Source organism: Homo sapiens, chromosome 2 (assembly GCF_000001405.40).
Source record: "Homo sapiens chromosome 2, GRCh38.p14 Primary Assembly".
Lineage (NCBI taxonomy): Eukaryota > Metazoa > Chordata > Mammalia > Primates > Hominidae > Homo > Homo sapiens.
In genome coordinates, this window is record NC_000002.12 from 210,626,801 (window position 1) to 210,650,813 (window position 24,013).

The following is a 24,013-nucleotide window of genomic DNA, read 5'->3' on the forward strand; positions in this document are numbered from 1 at the left end:
AGAAGGTTAAGGCAAAAATAAATACTTATTTAAAATACAGGCATCTACTGTATATCTCCGGTGACCTTAAAGTACATTTCTATTATAATAAAGGTGAAAAATATCACTATCCTATTTTTATGGATGGTGAAACTGAATCACACGAGGTGTGTGTCATACTTTATGTCACACCAATCAGAGGAAAACAAGGAATCTAGCCCAGGGCTCCCACTTTCAGTTTTAGTCACTAACCCTTTTCAAAAGCTTCTTTTGCGAGATATGACTTTTAAATCAGACAGCTGGAGATCAGTTCCTGCTTAGCGGTCAAGTTGTGAGCCACCTGCATTGTTGACCCCACTTAGAGAGGAGACATTGTGAGGAATTTGCCCTTTTCCAAAACTCTTGGGGGAAAACACAGGAAGTCTGGCAGGGAGAAAGCCCCAGCAAGTCACCTTTGAAAAATGTAAACAGGATTTTCAAGGGTACAAAGACCCAGGATAATAATTTTCTTTTTAAGTTTTGCTTTATTTATAATAAAAGATTTGTATATATTTATACACAATATATGTCTATAGGTATCTTTTCTTTAAAGTACAAATACCTTGCCTTCCATGTTTAGGGAGGTGTGAGTAAAACAACTCTTGAGCGTAGAATGGAATTAAATTTACGCAAAATAGGCTGCCAGAGCTATAATTACAGAAGCTAGATAATTAGTTGCTGACCCCAGAATTTCTTCAGCTGCTAATTTATACTTGAGATGCCTTTATGGGGCATAAAGCCTTTGAGTCTGACCTTAGGATAGAGTCATGCACTTCGTATCCAAAGACTATAAGGCAGCGACCATGCCTCCTAACAGTGGAGTAAATACCCGAGAGCACTCTCTCTCTAGAAGATCAATTTTGACTTGCAGGGAGTCGTAAGTATGGTGGCCCTCACCACCTCAAAGTGTGAGTACAGAAATACTACACAGGAGAGGAAAGAAAACAAAGGGAGCTGAGGTGCTGGGCCAAATGTAGGTGACTTGCTAGTTTTGCTCTTCTAAACTTCTCCTCCTGCTTCTTCTCTTCTTTCTCTTCCTCTTTCTCCTCCCTGTTGGTCTGGTTCTTTCCCTTCCTCCTTTTCCTCCAGCAATTGTATCTATTAAGCACTTATTACCTTCTTGGTGTTGTGCTGAACACTTGCCACATTTATTATTTTATCTGGCTGATGAGTCTTTTTCTCAGGATGGTGGAGCATGACTACAGGTTTTGGGCAAAGGTATTTGCCTATCTAAGGTTGAAGTAGGTATTTTGACACCATTTGCCTATATAACTATAATGATGATAATGTAATGGCCATCACAGCAATATCCACCTGGCAGTATTAAATTGCAGTTACTTCTTCTACCCCTCCCCTTCTACCCACTCTTCAGCTGATAAACTGACAAGTATACAGTTGTAGTGTCAAGTGGATGGTAATTTTTGCTTTCATGGATTTTAATGTGCATTTTCTATGTCTTCTTATGAAAAACCCCAGATAATAAAGATATCTGCTTTCCATGTAGGTAGTAAGCCTCATATCAACATAGACTGAATATGACATGTCACCAGGAATTTAATTCTAGCATTTTCCCACATCCTCCTAAAAATAACTTCTCCTTTTCCTCCTTTCTAAAAATGGCTTACATTTTTTCCTTCAAGAACTAGAAAAATGTAGTCAAAAATTATTCTTATATATCTTACATTTTTCTAGGAAAAAAATAAGCAGTAGTTATTAGTAGATAGGCTTCTGTTAAGTTTTTAGGAGGCTGAGACAGGCAGATCACAAGGTCAGGAGTTTGAGACCAGCCTGGCCAACATAGTGAAATACTGTCTCTACTAAAAATACAAAAATTAGCTGGGCGTGGTGGCAGGCGCCTGCAGTTCCAGCTACTTCGGAGACTGAGGCAGGAGAATCGCCTGAACTGGGGAGGTGGAGGTTGCAGTGAGCCAAGATCACGCCACTGCACTTCAGCCTGGGCAACAGAGTGAGACTCTATCTCAAAAAAAAAAAAAGTTATTTATTTTAACAAGGCTCTAAGTAATTCTTTCTAGAAGTCAAAGAAAGATATATTGAAATATATTTATATATTTGTTGCTTGGTACAACCTAAGTGATGTTTGGAAAACTGCTCTGTGGAAACATGATGATTTAAACAAAGATGATGGAGATGTTTTAAAATATAGGAGTTTCAAATAAATTTATTTGCAATAACAAATTGTAAAACATCAAAGAGTGCCCATTCAATCCCTATTTTCTATGAGGCCTTATAAAGTGTTTCTTCTTATCTGTTAGATTTAAATTCTGTACACATAAAAATCTTATATTCAGGGGAAAATCCAGAGTTTTGCTTACTGAATACATCTTCTTTATTTTGGGGAAGGCATACATTGAATAGATTTAAAATTATAAATAAATGTATTCATCAGAAATAACAGAAGCAACATTTCATAGTATGGACTTAACCCGTTAATCCAATTGGCTCAAGCAAAAGCTATTTGATTGGTATCAGCATCCTTTTTTTTTCTTTTTTTTTGAGACGGAGTCTCGCTCTGTCGCCCAGGCTGGAGTGCAGTGGCGCGATCTCGGCTCACTGCAAGGTCCGCCTCCCGGGTTCACGCCATTCTCCTGCCTCAGCCTCCCGAGTAGCTCGGACTACAGGCGCCTGCCACCACGCCCAGCTAATTTTTTTGTATTTTTAGTAGAGACGGGGTTTCACCGTGTTAGCCAGGACGGTCTTGATCTCCTGACCTCGTGATCCGCCCGCCTCGGCCTCTCAAAGTGCTGGGATTACAGGCGTGAGCCACCGCGCCCAGCCAGAACACTTTCTTATATACGAATTGACATAACTTACTACTTTGGTTAGGCAGTTTCCATTTGTTTTTCATCTTGGTAAAGACGAATGGTAAAATTCAAATTTGGTAAAATCAAGGGCAGAGAGAGAGTCATTGCATCTTAAATTAAGAACCATGGGCCGGGCTCGGTGGCTCACGCCTGTGATCCCAGCACTTTGGGAGGCTGAGGCGGGCAGATCATGAGGTCAGGAGATCGAGACCATCCTGGCTAACACGGTGAAACCCCGACTCTAATAAAAATACAAAAAAAAAATTAAATTAAAAAAATAAAATTAGCCGGGCGTGGTGGCAGGCGCCTGTAGTCCCAGCTACTCGAGAGGCTGAGGCAGGAGAATGGTGTGAACCTGGGAGGCGGAGTTTGCAGTGAGCCGAGATCCTGCCACTGCACTCCAGCCTGGGAGAGAGAGCGAGACTATGTCTCAAAAAACAAAAAAACAAAACAAAAAAAAAAAACAAAACCATGAAAAAACAAAATGTGGTTTATTATGGCTCAAAAATTGCAATTAACCTACATTAAGCGTTTTTCTTCATCATTATTCCTTGTATTCATAGAGCATAATTATGACATTATATTCAATACTAAATGAGTGGCTTTACCAGATTAAGAGTAATATCATGATATTTCTGGATTATTAGGGTCATTAAAGATTAGCAAAAAAGAACAGGAAATTCAGAAAATTAAAACTTGCCTATTTAAAGATATCTACATTATCAGTTTCTCATAAGGTTTCCTTTTTAATGTTGATTTTACTGTTATTATTACTAGCCTTTAAGGTGAAATATAGTTTTAAGTATGCCATTTTTTGAAAACTATTACTTGTAACATTTTAGCATTATTGTGATAGAATCTGGGTCCACTTAGCACTATTAGATAATTTTCTTGATGCCATACTGTCACGTGAACATTGGATCTAGGTATTATTTGCTCTGTACAAGAAATATAAAGATTCAAGTCTTCTTAAATTCCTTCAAAGACCTCATTCCTGTATAGAAACAGCCATGGTACTCAAAAATTAAGACAAAATAGTAGTGCCTACCCAATTGCCTGGGTTTTTATACTTTGCTTTTCTAAATGCCACTTCTATTTTTGAAAATTGTCTTTTGCATTTCTCGTAAGGAAACACATAGCAACTTGTCTCCTTGAATGAAGAGAGGTGACAAATAATTTCTCCACTGATGGCATTATTGTGATTGTGGCATGGTCTTGAACCCGTGAAACGCCAAAAATAATAAGTGAAGCAGTAAAAAACTCAAGAGAGAGGCTAGTGAGGGTTCATGAGTCAGAGAACATATATCTTACTCAATTCTCTTATTAAAGCAGATGTCATTACTGAACGTCAGGCTTAGTTTTTTTCTGCCTTTTGGAGTGTTTTTTTTTTTTTTTTAAAGAGGATAATAATAAAATTGCAAACCCATTCCATAATTGTAGGCCAGGTGGAGTGCTCATTTTCACATTAGAGCTTGTGCAATCTGGAGGGAAATTTGGTTTAGTATTACTCGTGAGTTGGTGGATCAGATGAAAGCCAGTCAAGTGGAAGAGAGGACTGTGTGAAGTGCGCTGGCTCCCCTGATAATTAGAATGCTGCAGGCGTTCCTCCAGTCAGCTAATAGATTTCCCCAGCTCCTCTGTGCCAGGTGAAAATTTCCTCATTAAGGGGAATTTATTCCATTTCCTTTTATCATTTATTATTGAAGACTAAGTGTGAGTGGAGGAAATTTCAGAGATGACAGGGAGGAATTTTAAACAACAACAACAATATCTACATTGGAAGTCTTAGAGAATGAGGAGAAAGGCTTGTATTGTTTGTAAACCAGAGAACACACCAGAGACTTTTTGCTATAGAAGCCGAGCCATGCTGTCTCACCATTAAAAGATTATGGCAGAGTGTGTAAAAGTCTGATGGTCTGGTTTTAAGACATTTTTTTCACCTTCTAAAATTTCAGTCATTTTGTGCTGCTAAGTAGAAAGAAACTGAAGATTATGAAAAGGCCAGCATCACAGCCATTTGGTGTGTTGTTTTATTGTATAGATTCTATTATGCAATGATGAAAGTCTAACCTTTTGTAAAGTTTGCCCTTGAACTCTCAAAGCAAGGCAAACTGGCACGGGAAAGAATAGTTGTATATATAATAGCATATTTTAGAGGACACAGTTCTGAAATATGGATTTAATGTGTATATGTTCAAAAGAGTAAAAATTAACATAAAATACTAGTACATACAAATATATATCAAAGAACAGAAGGATAATTTATTATGCATATTTTAAAATTGTGTGCTTTTGTGCAATATGCTTTCTTCAGCTGATCACATTTCTAGCTGGGCATAAAGCTGTCTTGATTTACAACATAATATAAATGGAGTATTCCCTATTGAGGTTTCAAAAAGCAGTGTTGAATTATAAATTCAGTATTTATATTTCTTTTAGTAATTATTCTGTTTTGAGTTTGTTTCAAATTAAGGTTTTTATTTTCCTTCAGAAAAATAAAAATGTTATAGCCTTGTTTTGAAAATAAGCTTTTACCTAGTTTGATCAAAAAAACAAAAACAAAAACCCACCATGATGGAAATTGGTTTTGGCAAACAAAATGGAGGGAGCATAATGTGGGCAGATAAAGATGAGGAACATCTATCTGAGTCTCCACATTGTTAAATGAGCTTTATGTTTGCTTAAGATTATGCATCTTGTATTTATTTGACTCTGAGGAGATTTAACCTGATCTAAATCACTGCCCCACAACTAATGAATTGTGTCTTTGAACTGTCTTTTTTTTTCTTTGATTATAATGGGACACACAATACAATTTTGTATCAGAATAAGCTGGGACTAAAGTCAATTTTCTACTGTGTATAATGACATCTCAGCCAGCCTGGTGTTACACCAAAGAGAGAAAACAGAGGAGAGGAAAGGTGAGGACAATACAGAGAATTGACCTGCTTCCATTAGGAGTACCTTGTGGAATTAGGCAGCACTGACTGTGGGAAGGGATCTAACTTGCCTGTGCCTCTCTAATGGCCCTGGTGGGTCAGTATCAACAATGATTTCTCAGTGAGGAGGATTGCTAAGTGTTTTGCACTATTTCATGATCATGTCTAAAGAGCAGAAATAACCAGAGAGACCATGAACAAAATACTATAGAAATTACATTACTTTGGACATCCAATGATCACACATACCCAATATCTGTATTCAAGTTAAGGTAGATGAACATGAATGTACTAATATACCATTTCAATTTAATACATTCTAATTTTTAAGACATTTAAAAATATTGTATTCTGTTATTGATCTAGTTATTTGAAAATTGGGCAGAAGTTGAAGCAGTTTTTGGCTCACCAAGAAAATGTCCTAAGAATCAACTAGTGAGATTAAAATATGCAAGGTGCAGGTCTAGCTTGATACATCTGTTTCAAAATTCTCACCTAGTATGATTTAAAGGGATGCCTATGTAGAAAGTTTTCACTCCCATTCTGAAGTATCATTCACAATCATTATTTTGTGTTACTGTTGCTCTTCTCAGACATTTTCTTTAAATTATGAAAACTCTCTGGTGTGGGAAATGCTATGGGCAGGGGAGCAGTAACAGTTGAGTTAGTCTTAGTGACAGATGGCTTTTTTTTTTCGTCACCAGAGCTGAGTACAAAATTAACTCACTTCACTTTTTAATGCACAAGGCCAATTCTTATCAATCAACCTTTTTCTTTTCTCTCTTCTTTCTCGTTCTCCCTTCTTTCTTATTATTTTTATTTCTTTGCTGATAAGTGTTCAGTTTTATTAGTAGGTAGAGGCAGAAGACTTTGTATATTTGCTAGAGATGTCTACATACATTCTGTTAGACTCTTGTGGTGAAAAAGAACAAGAGAAATTATGCATATTCCAGAAATGAAAATACTACATTCCTGAATGAAAATACTGCATTGCTGAATGTAGACGACACAAATGCAAATTTATTGCATCCCTAATAGAAATGTGAGGAATCTAATTTTTTCTTATTTAATACCATTATTTATAATTTTCATTTTAAACAACATAGCGACCTTTGAAAACCTGACTGGTATTCCATGTAAGAAGGAATGCAAACAAATAATTAAAGACCCTCTAAAAATTGCAACAACAAACAAATAGAAAAACCTGACTGAAAAAGCTAAAGATAACTACATGACTTCTGCTTATCTTAGCATTTGAAGAACCCGCACTTATGGTGCTGCCGTGTTAGCCCATGGTCACAATTATAGATGTGATGGTTCTTTTCAAGGCATGTGTTTTAAGTGTATCTGGATGACTGTTCTTCAGAGTTAGGATTTTAGTCATTTAAGTAAAAGTGGTTATTGTTCTAATTTAGAAAAATCGCTTATTTGTCAAGCACTTCCACCGAAAGGCTGAGTGCATACTTGCACATAAACAAATGAGCAATTGGTTTGGGAGCATATTCTTGGCAAGGAAAGTGGAAACATACCTTTCTAAAACAAATAACAACAATAACAAAAAAAAATCTTCGCCAGGCGCGGTGGCTCACGCCTGTAATCCCAGCACTTTGGGAGGCCGAGGCAGGCGGATCACAAGGTCAGGAGATCAAGACCATCCTGGCTAAGACGGTGAAACTCCGTCTCTACTAAAAATACAAAAAATTAGCCAGGCGTGATGGCGGACACCTGTCGTCCCAGCTACTCGGGAGGCTGAGGCAGCAGAATGGTGTGAGCCCGGGAGGCGGAGCTTGCAGTGAGCCGAGATCTTGCTACTGCACTTCAGCCTGGGCGACAGAGCGAGACTCCGTCTCAAAAGAAAAAAAAAATGTTTCCTCTACTTTCAAAATTAATTTCTCTCTCTCTCTCTTTTTCTTGAAAGTAAAAGTAACCACAAACTTTGGTGTTTCCAAGGCTCTCTGAAGCTCTAAAGTCACCTCTGGGGTAAAGCCTTTCCAGACTTCTCCATTGGCAGCTGGGGTCCCCTGCCCTGAGCCACGGCTTCAACTTGTGCACACTTCTCCCACAGCACCTCTCATGATGTAGACATATCATTGGCTATTTGTGCTTCCTAACATACTCTGACCTCCTAAATGTAAGAGTACAATATTTCATCTTCCATCATTAATACAGGCAGGACAGGTCTGATACAGAGCACGTACTCACTAAATGTTAAAGCAGTAATGACAATGAATGTGGCTACCCTCACCATCCAGTTTCCTCAGTATGTTTCCCATACGTGCCATGTCCACTGCTGCTCTCAAACAATAGCCAATACTGTTGCCATTGCCTATTGTACACCTGTCAACTCCTTTATCTACATAAAGTTGAACTTTGTTTTTTCTTTTTTGAGGTGGAGTCTCCGTTGTCTGAGCTGGAGTGCAGTGGCGTGATCTCGGCTCACTGCAACCCCCACCTCCTGGGTTCAAGTGATTCTCTTGTCTCAGCCTCTTGAGTAGCTGGGATTACAGGCACCTGCCACTATGCCCAGCTAGCTTTTTGTATTTTTTGTAGAGACGGGGTTTCACCATGTTGGCCAGGCTGGTCTCAAACTCCTGACCTCGTGATTCACCCTCCTCAGCCTCCCGAAGTGCTGGTATTACAGGTGTGAGCCACCACACCCGGCCAAGTTGAACTTTATTTATAGCTCTGTTCTCATCCCTCCACTGCTGTAGTGTTTCTCAAGTACAACCTTTCACACTATTATCTTTCTCTGGCCTCACGTAGCACCACATAGCTTATCCCTCCATAAAGTGTTTTGAATCACTATCATTTCATTGTCTCAAATATTGTTTCCTTATCTTCTGGGGCAGCACTGTTCAGTAGAAATTTCTGTGATGATGAAATATTCTGTAATCTGCACTGTCTGACACTGGAGCCACTGACCATGTGTGGCTGTTGAGCACTTGAAACCTGGCTTTGGTGACTGTAGCTCTAAATTTTTGGTCTTAAAAGATTTAATTAGTTTTTCAATTTAAATAACCACATGTGGCTAGGGGCTGCTATGTTGGATGGCACAGTTCTAAAGCACAGGGCTTGGCACACATACTAAGTCAGCAATAATACTTAATATTGGATTGCATTCAAGAATTTGACAGGAAAATGCATTGCTCTGAGAGAATGCTTATCAAATACTTGGGAAAACTAAATTCAAAATAAGAATAAAAAGAGAAGAAATTAAATTCAATGGGAGATTTAACACACTGATTTGAGACAGAAGAGAATTTAGGTGCAATAGAAAAAGCAAATTGACTAGGAAGAGCTGTAGCTGCAAAAATTTAAACTAATACTGACACTGGAAATCCAGGGAAATAGCCATTATATACACCAGCTTGATTTTTTCTTCTCCAAACTCAGAATATGAATTAATTAAAGCAGATTCATGATTAGAATGAACAAAATGCAATAGATTTAATCCAATTACATTTTATTAACAGCATTTCATGAAAATGTTTTCTTAAGGCAAGTTAGATCTTCTGGCAATACACTATTTTAATTTCATTGTATTGACTATCAAACTATTATAATTGAATTGTATTGTATTAACAATTACATGAAATAGCTGGCCCACAGGTATCTGGTTAAAGATGCTTTTACAGTAGTATTTTATTCTTCTGTCCCTTAGCTCTTTACAAATTATTTTTGCATGCATTTTGAAATCTAGTTATGAGCTAATTTCAATCACTTCTTTGTCTTTTCTATAAAATAAAAACCTAGGGAATTGAAGTTTTTATATTTATCCTTCATTTATTTATAATTTATATTCATAAATTATATTTACATTTAATTTATAAAATATATGCATTTTATTTATATGTTTATATTACTTATATTTATCCTTCATTTATTTATTTTCATAAATATTTATTGAATGCTGTCTGTGGGCCAGATAATGTGGTAGATTTGGGGAGTAATCTGGTAAATAAGCCAAATGTATTCTTTGCCTTTATGGAACTTAAATCCAGCAGGAAAAAGCCTGATTGACGAATAAAAGTTAGGAGACATTAAAAGTATCAGGTGATAATGGACATGCTAAACTGTATGATTCTATGTCCATCGTTCCAAGCAAAAGAGGCAGTAAAAAGCACAAGAAGTTCAGTGTGGATGACAGCAAACCAAAAGGCTTCACAAATGAGGCTTGGCTTTAGTTGGACTTTGAAGGGCTGCTGAGGGTCAGGGAGAAGTTGAGAAGGTAAAAGGAATGTTAAAGGTATTACAGATGAGAGAAACAACACAAATAAAGTCTACGCTATGGAAAGGAGTAGGGGGAAAATAAGACAAATCTAGTTTGAGTGGAAAACAATTATAAAATGACAAAACTGTCTTCTCAACATAGACAGATGGGTGATATTAGTAAGTAGAGGTAATTTAGGGAGAGGATATCCAAACTGATGCAATGTTGGGACACCTAGGTGAAGATGATTCTCAAAGTTCATATGCATAAAGACCTGGAGCACAGGTCAGATGTTGGAGAACCGGCCATGGATTTGGGAATTGTCAACCAGTCATGCTACTTGCACCCATGACAGTGGCTAAATTTAGAGAGGGAGAGAGGGAAGACAAAAGCAGGTAACAAAGGGTAGAGCCGTGGGTAGGGGTAGGGGGAAACCCAAAACTAGTAAATGGTAGTTTTGAGTAATAAAGTAGAGCGAGAAGCCACTTAGTAGAAGCCAGAATATCTTTTTAAAAAATAGATCATCAAAAGGGTCTTGTGATGACAGGTTGAGGAAAATGAAAACTGAAAAAGGGCTCCTGGATTTAGAGAGTGAGGTCTCTGATTATTACTAATGAGCACATTTATTAGAACAGTAAATGCACTTGCCATTTTTTATAAAAGCAGCAGGGAAGAGGTCGCATAGAGTGTGAAAGCAGGAGATCAGAGATTGTCAGCTTTGCAAATAGAAGACTTCATAGAGGCTAGAAGATTGAGTGGGTTAGTTATTTGTGTATTTTTAAAAGATAACAAGACTTAAATATGTTTGAAGGTGGAAAATAAGAAGCCCTTGGTGTTCTTGAAATTGAACTTGTCACCGCTTTTTATTGTTTTTGGTCTAAACTTGAATCTCTCTTTTCTATTAAATCCTAGTGAGTCCATGACAGAAGAAACCCTGAAAAGGGCAAAGGAGATTGGGTTCTCAGATAAGCAGATTTCAAAATGCCTTGGGCTCACTGAGGCCCAGACAAGGGAGCTGAGGTTAAAGAAAAACATCCACCCTTGGGTTAAACAGGTAAAGGAGTTTCCCTTTTCCCCCATCCCCCACTGACAGGATTTCTGTGGTAAAACGTAGGCACCCATTCAAAAGGCCATTGTTAATAAAAAGAGGAGTGGAATTAAGAAGTGACAATACTCATCCGGTTGATGCTCATAATGTCACCAATTTTATTCAGCAAGTGATTAATTTTTACTTAAAAGGGAAAGAAGGAAAGGACACTAGGATGTAAAGATAAGAGTGAGTACCTGATTTTCTTGGCCTAACTGAACAAAACAAAACAAAAATTTAAACTCTCCTCTGCTTTTTGACCTGTGTTCAAATATGTAAGTAGTTAAGAAATCCTTAGTGTAATTGAAGGACTTGAAATTTCCTAGCATGGTGGCTGACCCTCTTGAAAATAATAGTTATCTCCTTTGGCAGTAACTTTTTACAGGGTAATACTTTATATTAAGTGCCCCATGATTATGGTTCATTTAGTATTCATTGTGATAGGGCTGGGCATAATGAGCTCATCTAGTATTCATGACAATCACGCATGAACATTCATAGGTGTGCTGTTGTGATTTTTTTTCCTTTGGCCTTTAATGGAAGGGATGTCTTAGTTTAAAGTACCACCAGCTGGTTTTTGTCCTTTAAAATCATTGACTTTTCACTGTGTGCTCAAGGGGCACGTGCATACCCTTAGGTCTCAAGCTTTTTGCTAAATATTTTCCACTCAGCGATTATTATCTTTCTTCCTTCTCACCTGCCTTACACCAGCTTGCCCTGTCGGCCCCAAATTCTTGCTCACTAAGCTGAGTTACTGGCCCTTGAGAGTGGAATTGATTTCCAAATATGTTCAATGAGATCTTGTTCTCCCCCCGTTCATCCCCTATGGCTTTATGGTAGTTGTGTCATCCCACCGCTCAGTGCCACAGGCCACTTAAATCCTGCGCATTAATTTGCAAGCCAAAGAGATCCTTACGTATAGGTCATTTTGCTCAGATTTTAGATTTCATATACAGCTGCTTTTAGAGAGCTGGTGGGGTAAGTCTTCCTAGTAACCAGTTGACTATAGGACCACTTTGCGATGTTCATGAGAGTTACTATTACTACTAGTGATCCAATGCCCTGTTTCTCAGGTGATAACTAGACCACATCACTATTTTCTCTCTCTTATTTTCAGAATTAGAAAGCAATTCCACGGGTCATACATTTTCCTGTTTGCATACTTTACAGTAATAGGAATTAAAGGAATATGTATATAAAGCACAAAAAATTTAGTCTTGAAAAAATTATAATAACATTCTTATTTGTTTATTTTATTTGTTTTCTCTTACAGATTGATACACTGGCTGCAGAATACCCATCAGTAACAAACTATCTCTATGTTACCTACAATGGTCAGGTAGGAATGGGCAAATTGGCCTATCCAGAAAGCTCTAGATTTCATAGACAGTTCACATTAGGGAATATATATTTTTTACCTCTTTGGATATCTAGGTAATAAAAAAAGGCATCATGGCCGGGCGCGGTGGCTCACGCCTGTAATCCCAGCACTTTGGGAGGCCGAGGCGGGTGGATCATGAGGTCAGGAGATCGAGACCATCCTGGCTAACAAGGTGAAACCCCGTCTCTACTAAAAATACAAAAAATTAGCCGGGCGCGGTGGCGGGCGCCTGTAGTCCCAGCTACTCGGGAGGCTGAGGCAGGAGAATGGCGTGAACCCGGGAAGCGGAGCTTGCAGTGAGCCGAGATTGCGCCACTGCAGTCCGCAGTCCGGCCTGGGCGACAGAGCGAGACTCCGTCTCAAAAAAAAAAAAAAAAAAAAAAAAAAGGCATCATGTGTGTCAGGTATGATGATATGTTTCTGTACTCAGTCTTTTAAGAACTGCCTTAAGATAATGAAATCAAACAAATGAAAAATTAAGGACAATGACTACATGATCATACAATTATGCTATGTTCTCATGACTATTTAATTTAAAAAATTCTGCCATATCTATTTTTTATAAATAAGTAGGGCTTGTATAACACTTTATACTTATGGGTTTCCAGAGACTAATAGAGAATACATGTTAACAAGAGGAAGATGAGAAATACATACTTAATGATAGGACAACTAGTTTAATTAAATGGAATAATAACACTTAATGATTTCTGCATCTTCCTTTTCTTATTTCCTCAGGAGCATGATGTCAATTTTGATGACCATGGAATGATGGTGCTAGGCTGTGGTCCATATCACATTGGTAAAATAATAAATTATGTGTATATAGGACTTTACACAATTTATATAGTTTTCTTCATACATGTTAATTCCATTATTCCAAGAACTATATCAAATAAATGCTGTAATATATGTTTTGCAAATTAGGAAGCTGGGGTTCAGAAAAATAAAACCCAAATATATACAGCTATTTAGTGGTAGAGTGGGACTCAAATGCAGGTCTCAACTACAAATTCTATCTCCTCTCATTTCACTGTGTAACTTAATTTTCATCCTTTTTAACTGAATTGAGCCTTTCACTGGAGTTGGGAATGGATTAGATTTTGACCTGTTATCTTCTAGCATAGTTTTTCATAAGGATCTACATTTACTCAAGGACTTTATACATTAGCCAGAAATTACATTGCAGATACCACCTCTGACCTCATCCTACGTAACATATATGACTTTCGTTTACCTCAAATGCAAAAATCTTGTCTGTTTGGTGCATGGGTAGAGCATTATGTAGGTGAATTAAAACATAATCACCAGAGATATGACATTTCTCTCCAGTCAATTAAATAACCACTAAAGATTATTACAGATGCAAGTATGTATTTTAATGGACAGTGATATTAGTCAACATATGGATTTAATATTTAATCTCCACAAAGCATTATAATATGGAAATGATAAAAATCTATGATTTGAATATATTTAAATCTTATTCTATTACTTTAAGCATAGTTTATTTAGTTTTTACAATGAACTAAGAGCTTCAGGATATGTTAGTTTACCAATCTTTGGACAAATCTTGAAGTAGGACAAAAATGTTATATCTTTACCACCTTAGTCATTGTCTTAGTCCATTTGTGCTGCTGTAACAAAATACCTGAGATTGGGTAATTTATAAATAAATTCTCACAGTTCTAGGGGCTGGGAAGTCCAAAATCAAGTGCCAGGAAGTTCAGTTGTCTGGTGAGACATAGGTCTCTGCTTCTAAGATGGCGCCTTAAACCTTGTGCCTCCTATAAGGAAGGAATGCTGTCTTTACATGGCAGAAGGCACAACAGCACAAAGGGAACAAATTCCCTCCATCAAACCCTCACCCCCAGTTTTTTCTGAGACAAGGTCTTACTATGTCACCTAGGCTGGAATGCAGTGGTATGATCATGGCTCACTGTAGCCTTGATGTCCCAGGCTCAAGCACTCCTCCCACCTCAGCCTCCCTAGAAGCTGGGCCTATAGGCATGTGCCATCATGCTTGGCTTATTTTTATTTTTATTTTTTGTAGAGATGGAATTTTTCTGTGTTGGCCAGGCTAGTCTCACACTTCTGGACTCAAGCGATCCTCCTGCCTCAGCCTCCCAAAGTGCTGGTATTACAGGCAGGAGCCACTACAGCTAGCAAGCTTTTCTATAACAGCATTAATCTATTCATGAGGGATCTGCACTTATGAACTAAAACCCTCCTAAAAGGCCCCACCTCCCAGCACTGTTGCATTGGTGACTAAGTGTTCTAACACATGGATTTCAGGAGACACGTTCAGGCCATGGCAGTTATCTTATGGTGAAATAGCCTGACCATTTCACCAGCATCTACCTGTCTACTCTCTGGAGTACTTTTTCTTCCTTTTCAAATTTTACCTATTCATGCAGTAATTCTGCATTATATCAGGATCCAAAGAAGACTAGTCAAGCTAATAATCAAGTGTGTGCTTACTTGATAGTTGCCATTAATATGCCAGTATATTTGAATAACGTGTTTTCACAAGAATTTTTAGAAGACAATATCTTAATGCAAAGAATTAGTACAAGTCTGTGGACTTTCAATTCTATGGCATCCCAGTAGACGTGATATTTTGAGGTGTTTAGGCCATTATTACACTTCAGATTTCTTTATAGAAGGTCACTCACTCTGCATGGGTGGCCTTGCCAAGTTTAAAAGGATATGCTTGGAAAAGATAGGACTCTTCAATCAATCAGGATATGTCAGAGCTGCAAGGCACCTCAGGGATCATTAGGTTCAGCCCTCAGACAGCAGATTAAGTGGAAAGGCTGAAAAAAGAGCACAGGTATCCTCATCACTGGATTAACTATTTTTGTGTATTGAGGTCAATATATTCACTTTGAATTTCTTTTCAGTAAGTGAGGGTTATTTTTATCATTAAAATTACCTCCCATTAACATTGAAGTTCTAAATACTTCAAATATTGAGATTTTCTATTGCAGAATTTAGCATATATGACAAGCCCAATATTTCCTTGCTGTTTAATTAGTACCCATTTTTCCTACTACTAATACAGTATGCATCATGGGTTTGAAATTTATATCTTGGAGTTTAAAAAATTGAATTGAAAATCATTAGCTTCCTTAGCCTGGACTGACTGGTGATACATTTCTGCTTCTCTTTGTATTGTAACTTCGTGCTTCTCTTATCCCTTTTGCCAATCTCATTGTCTCTGCAGGCAGCAGTGTGGAATTTGATTGGTGTGCTGTCTCTAGTATCCGCACACTGCGTCAACTTGGCAAGAAGACGGTGGTGGTGAATTGCAATCCTGAGACTGTGAGCACAGACTTTGATGAGTGTGACAAACTGTACTTTGAAGAGTTGTCCTTGGAGAGAATCCTAGACATCTACCATCAGGAGGTAAGAAAAGAAAAACAGAAAAAAAAGAAAAAAGAAGACAGATATATGTAGTATACACTTTATATATATGCATTCTGGTATATAGATGTATATAGTAATTCCTCTTAGAAGAAAGGGCTGCCAGTGGCATCCATTGTCTTATTTTGTAGTAAAACTCTAAAAAAAATCACTCCATTCTTATATTTTTGAGCCCCTGGCCCAGAGTGATTATTTTTCACATAAAGTTTTTATTTACATTTTCTTTCTAAGGGTTTCAGCTAGATTGAAAACTCTACTTGGTAACATGTGCCAGATACATATTAACTAATACAAGATGATCCCTCATAAATATCTTGCAGAGTGATTGAATTGGTCATCTAGACATACAATAAACAGCCTCTTTCTAGTTTGTGTGATGTGGTTTAATGATAAACAGTTCCAGTTCCCTGAAAATAGTCAATTGCTCACAAAAGACCAGTTAATTCCTTGTTCCATCAGATGAAGCCATTAGTCTTCAGTTTAAGATCAATGAGTTCATTGTGAATAATTTTGCTTCCTTTATAGCTTTCACTTACAGTTGTTCCTCCATTCCCATCCCAATATTACTGAGTATCTTCACTGTGAATTCATGTGATTGCAGATTACTATAAGACTGTAGAACAAAATAAATTATCTTATAATTAAAATAAAAGCTACTGGAAAATTTTAGTGATGTCCAGTAGTTAGGCCTTTGATATTATTACAGTTATTATTACTTTTTACCAGAAAATCATCTCTATGTGGAAAATATGGTCAATTAGAAGGAAAAAAGTACTAAATTGGAACCAAAATACTTAAATTTTAGTTTTGACTGACAACCTCATTGATTTCTTTAAGTTACATAAATTCTCCGTGCTTTATCTTTATTTTAAATGAATCGTCTGAGTATAAACACATGCTACTTGCAAATACTGTGAAGTTAACATAGAGTTTATGGCCGAAGTCAGATTGTAAAGTATAAAGTATAGTGCTAGAATAATGTTATTATTTTACTATTACAAAAGAAAGTAGACAAGTTTAGGAAGGATGTATAATTATAGTTGTCTACTTGGGCCTGGCCTACTAATCCTTTAATAAAATTGATCCATTAAATAGAATATATAGCATTTTTTAGACCTCTCTCTGACATGGTTGTTTTTAAATCACTCCTTAATATTCATTTGAGATAGACAGGTGGGGATCAAAATAAGTGCATCCCACAAATATTTCTCGAACACCTTGTAAATCCAGGTTCAGTATGATAGACAGCTGGAAAAACAGGTTCTTATCTTCAAGACATTAACAATAAAACTAGTATCTGTGATATAAATGTGAAAAGTCAAATACTAATTTAAAAATATTAAAAAACATTACAGATGATAGCAGCAGGCATTTTGCATATAATTAATTATGTCCTCATGAAATGGTTTAAAGAAAGATGAAAAACTTCTATGACTGCTTTTGGATACAATTATACATGGCTATTAATGAGATTTGTTTATTAAAACTGAAGTCAGTATTATAGAAAGAAAGAAGTTGGCCCTTCTTTGAAACTAATTGGTATTTAAAATATAGTATTACTATATATTAGGAGGTAATTTAAAATATGTTGGCGGACATAATATGATGTACATATGTAAATGTAGACAATGGTACTTCTGTCACAAAACAAGTTAAATGAATGAATTAATGACAGACATTAATTAGTGATAGGCAAAACCCATTAGAGAATGCATGACTCGAGACAGAATTGAGGTTCATTTATATCATTTGGTTTAATTGTAATTAAATGTAATCCTAAAATACTGCCTAAACTATAAATCATTTTTACTAACATGTAAATTAGTAAAATATAAAGCATCATCCTTCTCATTGGCAGGTGTACAGATAGTAGAATTTTATAAATTGGAGATAATTCATAAAATTCCAAAAACCATGGCCATTTGTAATGAGGCAAATACTACTTCTGTTAGAAAAATTTTCTCACATGACATTCTTTCCATAATACATCTAATTTGTGCATAAAAATAAGGACTAACCAAAGTGATTAGTGGCCAGGATAAGTTAAGATGTTCTCAAATAAGCTTGAAGTATTTCCTTTTCATGTTTTTCTATTGAAAATAAGTTTCTGGTTCAGAAATATTCTTGTGCTATGGTAAGTTAGTGATATCAGGTTTTAAAAAACAGAAAACTAAGATGGGTAAAAAGGATGCAAACAGATCTAGGTATGATTAATGGAATTTTGGGAGCTTAATGGAATTTTGGGCCTAAATATTTTAGAAATCTATTAAACAATATTTGAAATTTAGAATATTTTATTTCAGTAGATTTCTTGAAACTATTCAGGCCTGATGGCTATGATAAGGATGATGATTTACCTGTGTGGGTTACCAGGTTCTCATCCCTTTGTTCCTACATGTCCCGTGATATTTGGTGTTGGATCAATTTGAGATTGGATTATTCCATAAAACTGTGCTATATTAACATTTTACAAACATGTTCTCATACTGAATTCCTTTTGCCCTGTGGGAAAACCTGCACGACACCATCACACTGTTACTCTAAAAGATTCCTGAGGCCGTGATTTGTCTTCCCATTGATGGTCTCTGATTCTAGTCGTCAATGATGAGAATTTGGTTTTGTGCTGAAAGCTTTTCTACTACTTTCCAAAAAAAAAAAGTAGTTTTTTAAAAATAGCTTTTCTCTTATTCTTTAACATTAACTACACCTGAAATGAGCCAGAAAAGTAGAGTTAACTTAAGATTCTAATATTTGGTCTATTACTTCAGCATAGCTGAAAGTGTATTAGTTTCAGCATAGTTGAAATTACAATCTATAGAGTTGAGTTCAGGCCGGGGATGGTGGCTCACGCCTGTAATCCCAGGATTTGGGGAGGCTAAGGAGGGTAGATCACTTGAGGCCAGGAGTTCAAGACCAGCCTGGACCCCATCTCTACTAAAAATAAAAAAAATTAGCTGGGCGTGGTGGTGCATGCCTGTAATCCCAGCTACTAGGGAAGCTGAGGCACGAGAATTCCTTGAACCTGGGAGGCGGAGATTGCAGTGAGCTGAGATCATGCCACTGCACTCCAGCGTTCATGTACAAGCTCTATACATGTATTTGCTAGATAAGGGATATGGGTGAGTCACTTCACCTTTACTGAGCCTCAGTTTCTTTAGCTGTAAAATGGGGACAGTAATAATCACCTCAGAAGGATAGTGTGAAAGTCAAAACAGATAGTCCAGGATACATAGTAGAATCTTTATTAAAGAGTAGCAGCTATTATCTTACTATTGTTTTGAATTTATTGCAAAACAGAATTTTTAATTCCTTAAAAAGCAGAAATTTCTTTAAAAACAAGTCAATTTAATACAGCTAAGTTGAAAAATATTGATGTGTTTATTAAAGCCTTTTATTACACTTTAAGCTCCTATTTAGTCTAATTGACTCAAACTTTTGCTATAAGTTGCTACTTCTCCCTCAGTTTAAAAAAATTATTCTAAAATCCTTCATATAAGAGATTTTTTGTGTCCATTTAATGGAGTAATTTGTTTTTAAGTCTCTAAAACATTAACAACACTGCTGATAAACCCAACATAATAAGGAAATAAAAAGATTATAGCCAAGAGAGTATTTTAAAGGTTTTTGCAAAAATTTATATTGAACATATTTTAAAATAAAAATAGTTTAAGTACACTTATAAATATGCAAAATGGTGGATTATTATTTTCAGTACTGTTTACAATGCCTTTAAGCACTCAATTGCAGGGTGTTTGTTTAGTTACACAGTACCGTAATTGCTCTCATCAGACAGAAATTAGCCTCATCCCTTATAAGAGTATTTCAGAACAATTTTAAATAATGACAAAATATATTTGGCACATATCTATCATTTTGGCAGTTCTACTAATATTCATTAGTGGGTCATTAGGACACACACAAATTATGCTAAGCTCAATGGCCTATCAGATATATGATTTTTGATATTAATAATCATGTCTTATTTATTTATACACTTACGGTATATAGGACCTTTAATGTTTAGTGTTTAGGCAGGTATTATCCTAATTTTATACACAAGAAGACTAAACGTTGGGGGAAAGTTCAGTCTTGTTGTCTATAAAATTAGACAAGAAGGGGTGGGTGGTACACAGAAGGAACCAAGTTAGGAAGGGACTTCGACTGGAAATCTATTTCCTCACCGTCTCACGCTGGTTTACCCTCACTGCTACAACAACACCTGTCTTGAGAAACTTTGAGATTTAGTGGACTATTTTTTTTTTTCTTGAAGTTTTGACTGCTAATAGGAGATTTGGACTTATGGAAGAAAATCTTACACAAATGTCTGAAATAAGGCTAAAGATTCTGGCACTGTTTGTAAAGCAAGTAGTGAGGCAGTAGGAACTAAAATCAGTTACTAGGTACTGTTGACAGGTACCAAGGCTGCAGCCAAGGAGAGGGGAAGGTGGAAGGTCATCAAAGTGGAAGGACATCAAAGTGGGACCTGAGATCTAGGCTGGAACTAAGGGGTAGCTAAAGGTTAGATAAGCTGGAAGAGAAGAGAAAGGAAACAACAGCCAGGGAAGTTTCAGTGGTGCAGAGAATTTGTTAGTGGGAAAATACCTAGTTGGAGCTAATGAGTAGTCTTTTGAGCTGAGAGGGGTGATAATAGATAAGACTGGAAAGTCTTAAGTGCCCTGGGGGTCAAAAGTTTATGCTTTATTCTCTAGGCAGTGGAAACCTTTGGAGAACTCTGAGTGTAGGAGCAATTTGATGAAGCAGACTTGCTTAATCTGAATGTGAAGTGCTGAGATGGAGGTGTACAGGAGAAGGGAGTGTTAAAAGAAGAAATCTGTATTCAGTTAGGAATTTCCAGCAGTAGTCCAGGAATTAATTGATTATAGCATAGAGTACATAGCAAACATTTATTGACTTGATTTTCCTTTCCATTTGCCACACATGTGAGTGTCACAAATGATATTCACGTGTACTTGTATGGAAATCTTGCACAGATTTTAGCATCTAAGTGCCAGAAAGTAAAAATTTTGTGGCATCATTTAACAGTATTCATTGGTAGGAGAGATGTAAATATCACAGTCAGGTTAAGAATTATCAGTAAGGAAATAGACACAATATTAGCATAGTTGTCCATTCATAATGAAGTTATTCCAATGGCTGATATTGTGAGTGTATTTTCCAGGCATGTGGTGGCTGCATCATATCAGTTGGAGGCCAGATTCCAAACAACCTGGCAGTTCCTCTATACAAGAATGGTGTCAAGATCATGGGCACAAGCCCCCTGCAGATCGACAGGGCTGAGGATCGCTCCATCTTCTCAGCTGTCTTGGATGAGCTGAAGGTGGCTCAGGCACCTTGGAAAGCTGTTAATACTTTGGTAAGGAGAGAAACAAGTATCTGTTTCTAATGTTCTATTTTGAAGAGCTGCAACCTGAATGTTGACTGAATGTTGACTATTGGATATGTTAACTACAGGGCAGATAGAATGCATACACTTAGTGAATTTAAAGTTGTTGTATATCCATGATTGCAGTTAATGCTGATTATGAGTTGATAGCAGTATTCTCATTAAGATTCAGACAATGAAAATAATTTCAAACCAGTTTTGAACAAGATTTGATATTTAGAATCAGAAGCTAGGAATTTTATGTATTTCAGTGTCCAATTTACATTTAATGGTGCCTTTAGAGAATAAAGAAGCTGGGCTACCACTCGAGCTAATGATACATTCTGTAATTTTATTGCATATTTTAAACTACTCATACATTTTTATTGTTGTTTCTATTAATTAGAATGAAGCACTGGAATTTGCAAAGTCTGTGGACTACCCCTGCTTGTTGAGGCCTTCCTATGTTTTGAGGTAACACTGTATATTGTTTTCCAAAACAATGATTCAAAAATTGGGAGATACAGAAATGCATGCTGTATGCTAATAGCACTAGGGTTCTATATGTAGTAATTTATAAATCCATTAACAATTTCCAAACCATCACAGCCAGTTTAAGGACCAATGTGTGGTCTTCTAGTTTAATGCTTTCCCTTCAGGGAGTGGCCATAGGAAGACTACAGTTCTTCATCTAGAAGTGTAGTGTAAGGCATCTCCTTACCAAACAGAGAGGGTAGCTTTATATTAAAGAACAGGACAATTTAAAAAAGACACACAAATTGAGGTATCTCTCGCCAGCGTGTTTTCTGATACCCAGAAATGACAGCTTATCTTTGACTATTGTCAGCACCTTCTGATAGTGCCTTTGTTTTAAAATTTTCAGTTTTTGAGATCCGATTGTTTAATAGATAAATTATAAGGGTGAGGAACAGGAACAGTGAGGATCTTTTATATTAAACTTTAAAACAAAGTTTTATCATAAAAGAAGAAGTTGTGAATTATCACTTACTTTCTTCAGATGTTACCACATGTAAGGAACAACTTCACCAAACAAGGGATAATAAAAGAAACACAATTTGCTTTGCACAATTTGAAAGTGTAAATGGAATTTGAGATGGGTTCCTTTAAAATGATGAAAATGAAAAATTTCAAACGAGGTGGAAATCTTTTTATTTAAATGTCATTTTGTGTAAACCATAGTCTAATAATACTACCTGTTTGAGGAGTTAATGTAAACTAATTTAAACATGCACACATTTAAGGAAGGATGGAAAATAAAACAGCTTTGACTATCACACTTCTTTTTCCTTTTTTGCAATCTATATCTTTGTTCCAGTTTCACATACTCTGAATGATAAGCATTATTGCTCTAGCCTTCCTCTCTTAAACAAATGAAGCAACTGAAAGCCCTTTAGGCAGAAATTTGTAATAGGATAAACTGGTGAGGTGATGGATATATAAATAACTTGATTGACTTTCTATAATGTATACATAGATCAAAACATCACACAATACCTCATAAATATATGCAATTACTATTTGCCAATTAAAAATACATTTTAACATTAAAAGATAAATTTGTAGTAGTGTAAAAGAGGTAAATGCTGCTGTTTAAAAGCAAAGTAATATTTTTCTTATTTTTATTTTTGCTTTCTGTTACTCCTCCTCTCCTACCCTCCCAACCCATTTTGCAAATGTCAAAATTCAGAGTAAATTGATTTCAGATAGCATTTTTTCTCAAGCATTTAAAAAGAAAGGATATAGTTGAAAAGGTTTTATTCACATACTGCACATTGTATTAGCAAATATTACTTTAAAAATTGATTCATTTGCAATCTGGTTGAGGGAGTAGCATAACCTGCTTTGACAACAGAGCAGTAGGCTAAGATCAGCTGTTGATAATGAACTCTGAAGAAACAGGTTAGGGAAATCAGGTTCTGGGCTGAATCCTGTTAAGGCTTAAGAATTACCTGGAACCAGCAGAGTGTTAATGTAGCAAATCAGAAAGGGCAAACTTTGGAGAAGTATAATTTCTAGAGCTACCAGGATTCCCTTTGGGAATTAATACAGGTTTACTGACCCCCTACACTTTACCTTCTTCCATCCTCAGCTTCGTCAGTTTTATACTTTGGTTGATTGTCCTGGTGATTAAATGGAGAAAAGTCTCAATTTAGCAAGAGGCACCTTCTTATTCAGCCCCGACTGGAACTATAGGTTGTCTGGAACTGTTCTGAGAACCAGTCAAGTCTAGTATTAGCATAAACCTGACCTGCTTTTTTTCCCCTTCCTTTTCCAGTGGGTCTGCTATGAATGTGGTATTCTCTGAGGATGAGATGAAAAAATTCCTAGAAGAGGCGACTAGAGTTTCTCAGGTAGTGTCCAATTTCTTTGTAGTGACTGTTATCTCTTAATAAACATGTAGTGACATTTATCTCTTAATAAAATGTAGTGACATTTATCTCTTAATGCAACCTTACTTTGTATGTTTTCTTTTCACACAATGTGTTAGAATGAGTTTTCTTTTTTCCTCTTCTACCCTCTAGTCTCCTAAAAGAATGAGAAACCTTGAAGGCATTAAATTATAACTAGACTTTTAAGGTTGGTGGAAAAAGAGGAATACCTGTGCATATTTTATCAAAACAGATTTTAGACTCCAGGAGTCTAAAAGGACAATGATTTTTGTTTTTCTCATGAATTAGATGCTGGTCAGGGTATTTCTGGAATTCCCAGTCTCAAGGGCTGCTCAA

General features: G+C 36.5%; 1 protein-coding gene across 6 annotated transcripts in view; it reads left to right on the plus strand.

The window, feature by feature from the left end:
- CPS1 (carbamoyl-phosphate synthase 1) overlaps nucleotides 1-24,013 on the plus strand; it is a 201,423-nt gene that overhangs the window by 149,116 nt on the left and 28,294 nt on the right. For all 6 annotated transcript variants that reach the window (NR_161225.1, NR_163592.1, NM_001369257.1 and 3 more), the window contains 7 exons: nucleotides 10,902-11,043; nucleotides 12,350-12,415; nucleotides 13,196-13,259; nucleotides 15,684-15,865; nucleotides 21,063-21,257; nucleotides 21,673-21,740; nucleotides 23,563-23,638. Coding sequence is in view for 4 of the 6 variants with exons in the window: in NM_001369257.1 (NP_001356186.1) it covers nucleotides 10,902-11,043; nucleotides 12,350-12,415; nucleotides 13,196-13,259; nucleotides 15,684-15,865; nucleotides 21,063-21,257; nucleotides 21,673-21,740; nucleotides 23,563-23,638 (793 nt within the window). In the remaining 2 variants the exon portion in view is untranslated. The remainder of the gene's footprint in view (nucleotides 1-10,901; nucleotides 11,044-12,349; nucleotides 12,416-13,195; nucleotides 13,260-15,683; nucleotides 15,866-21,062; nucleotides 21,258-21,672; nucleotides 21,741-23,562; nucleotides 23,639-24,013) is intronic.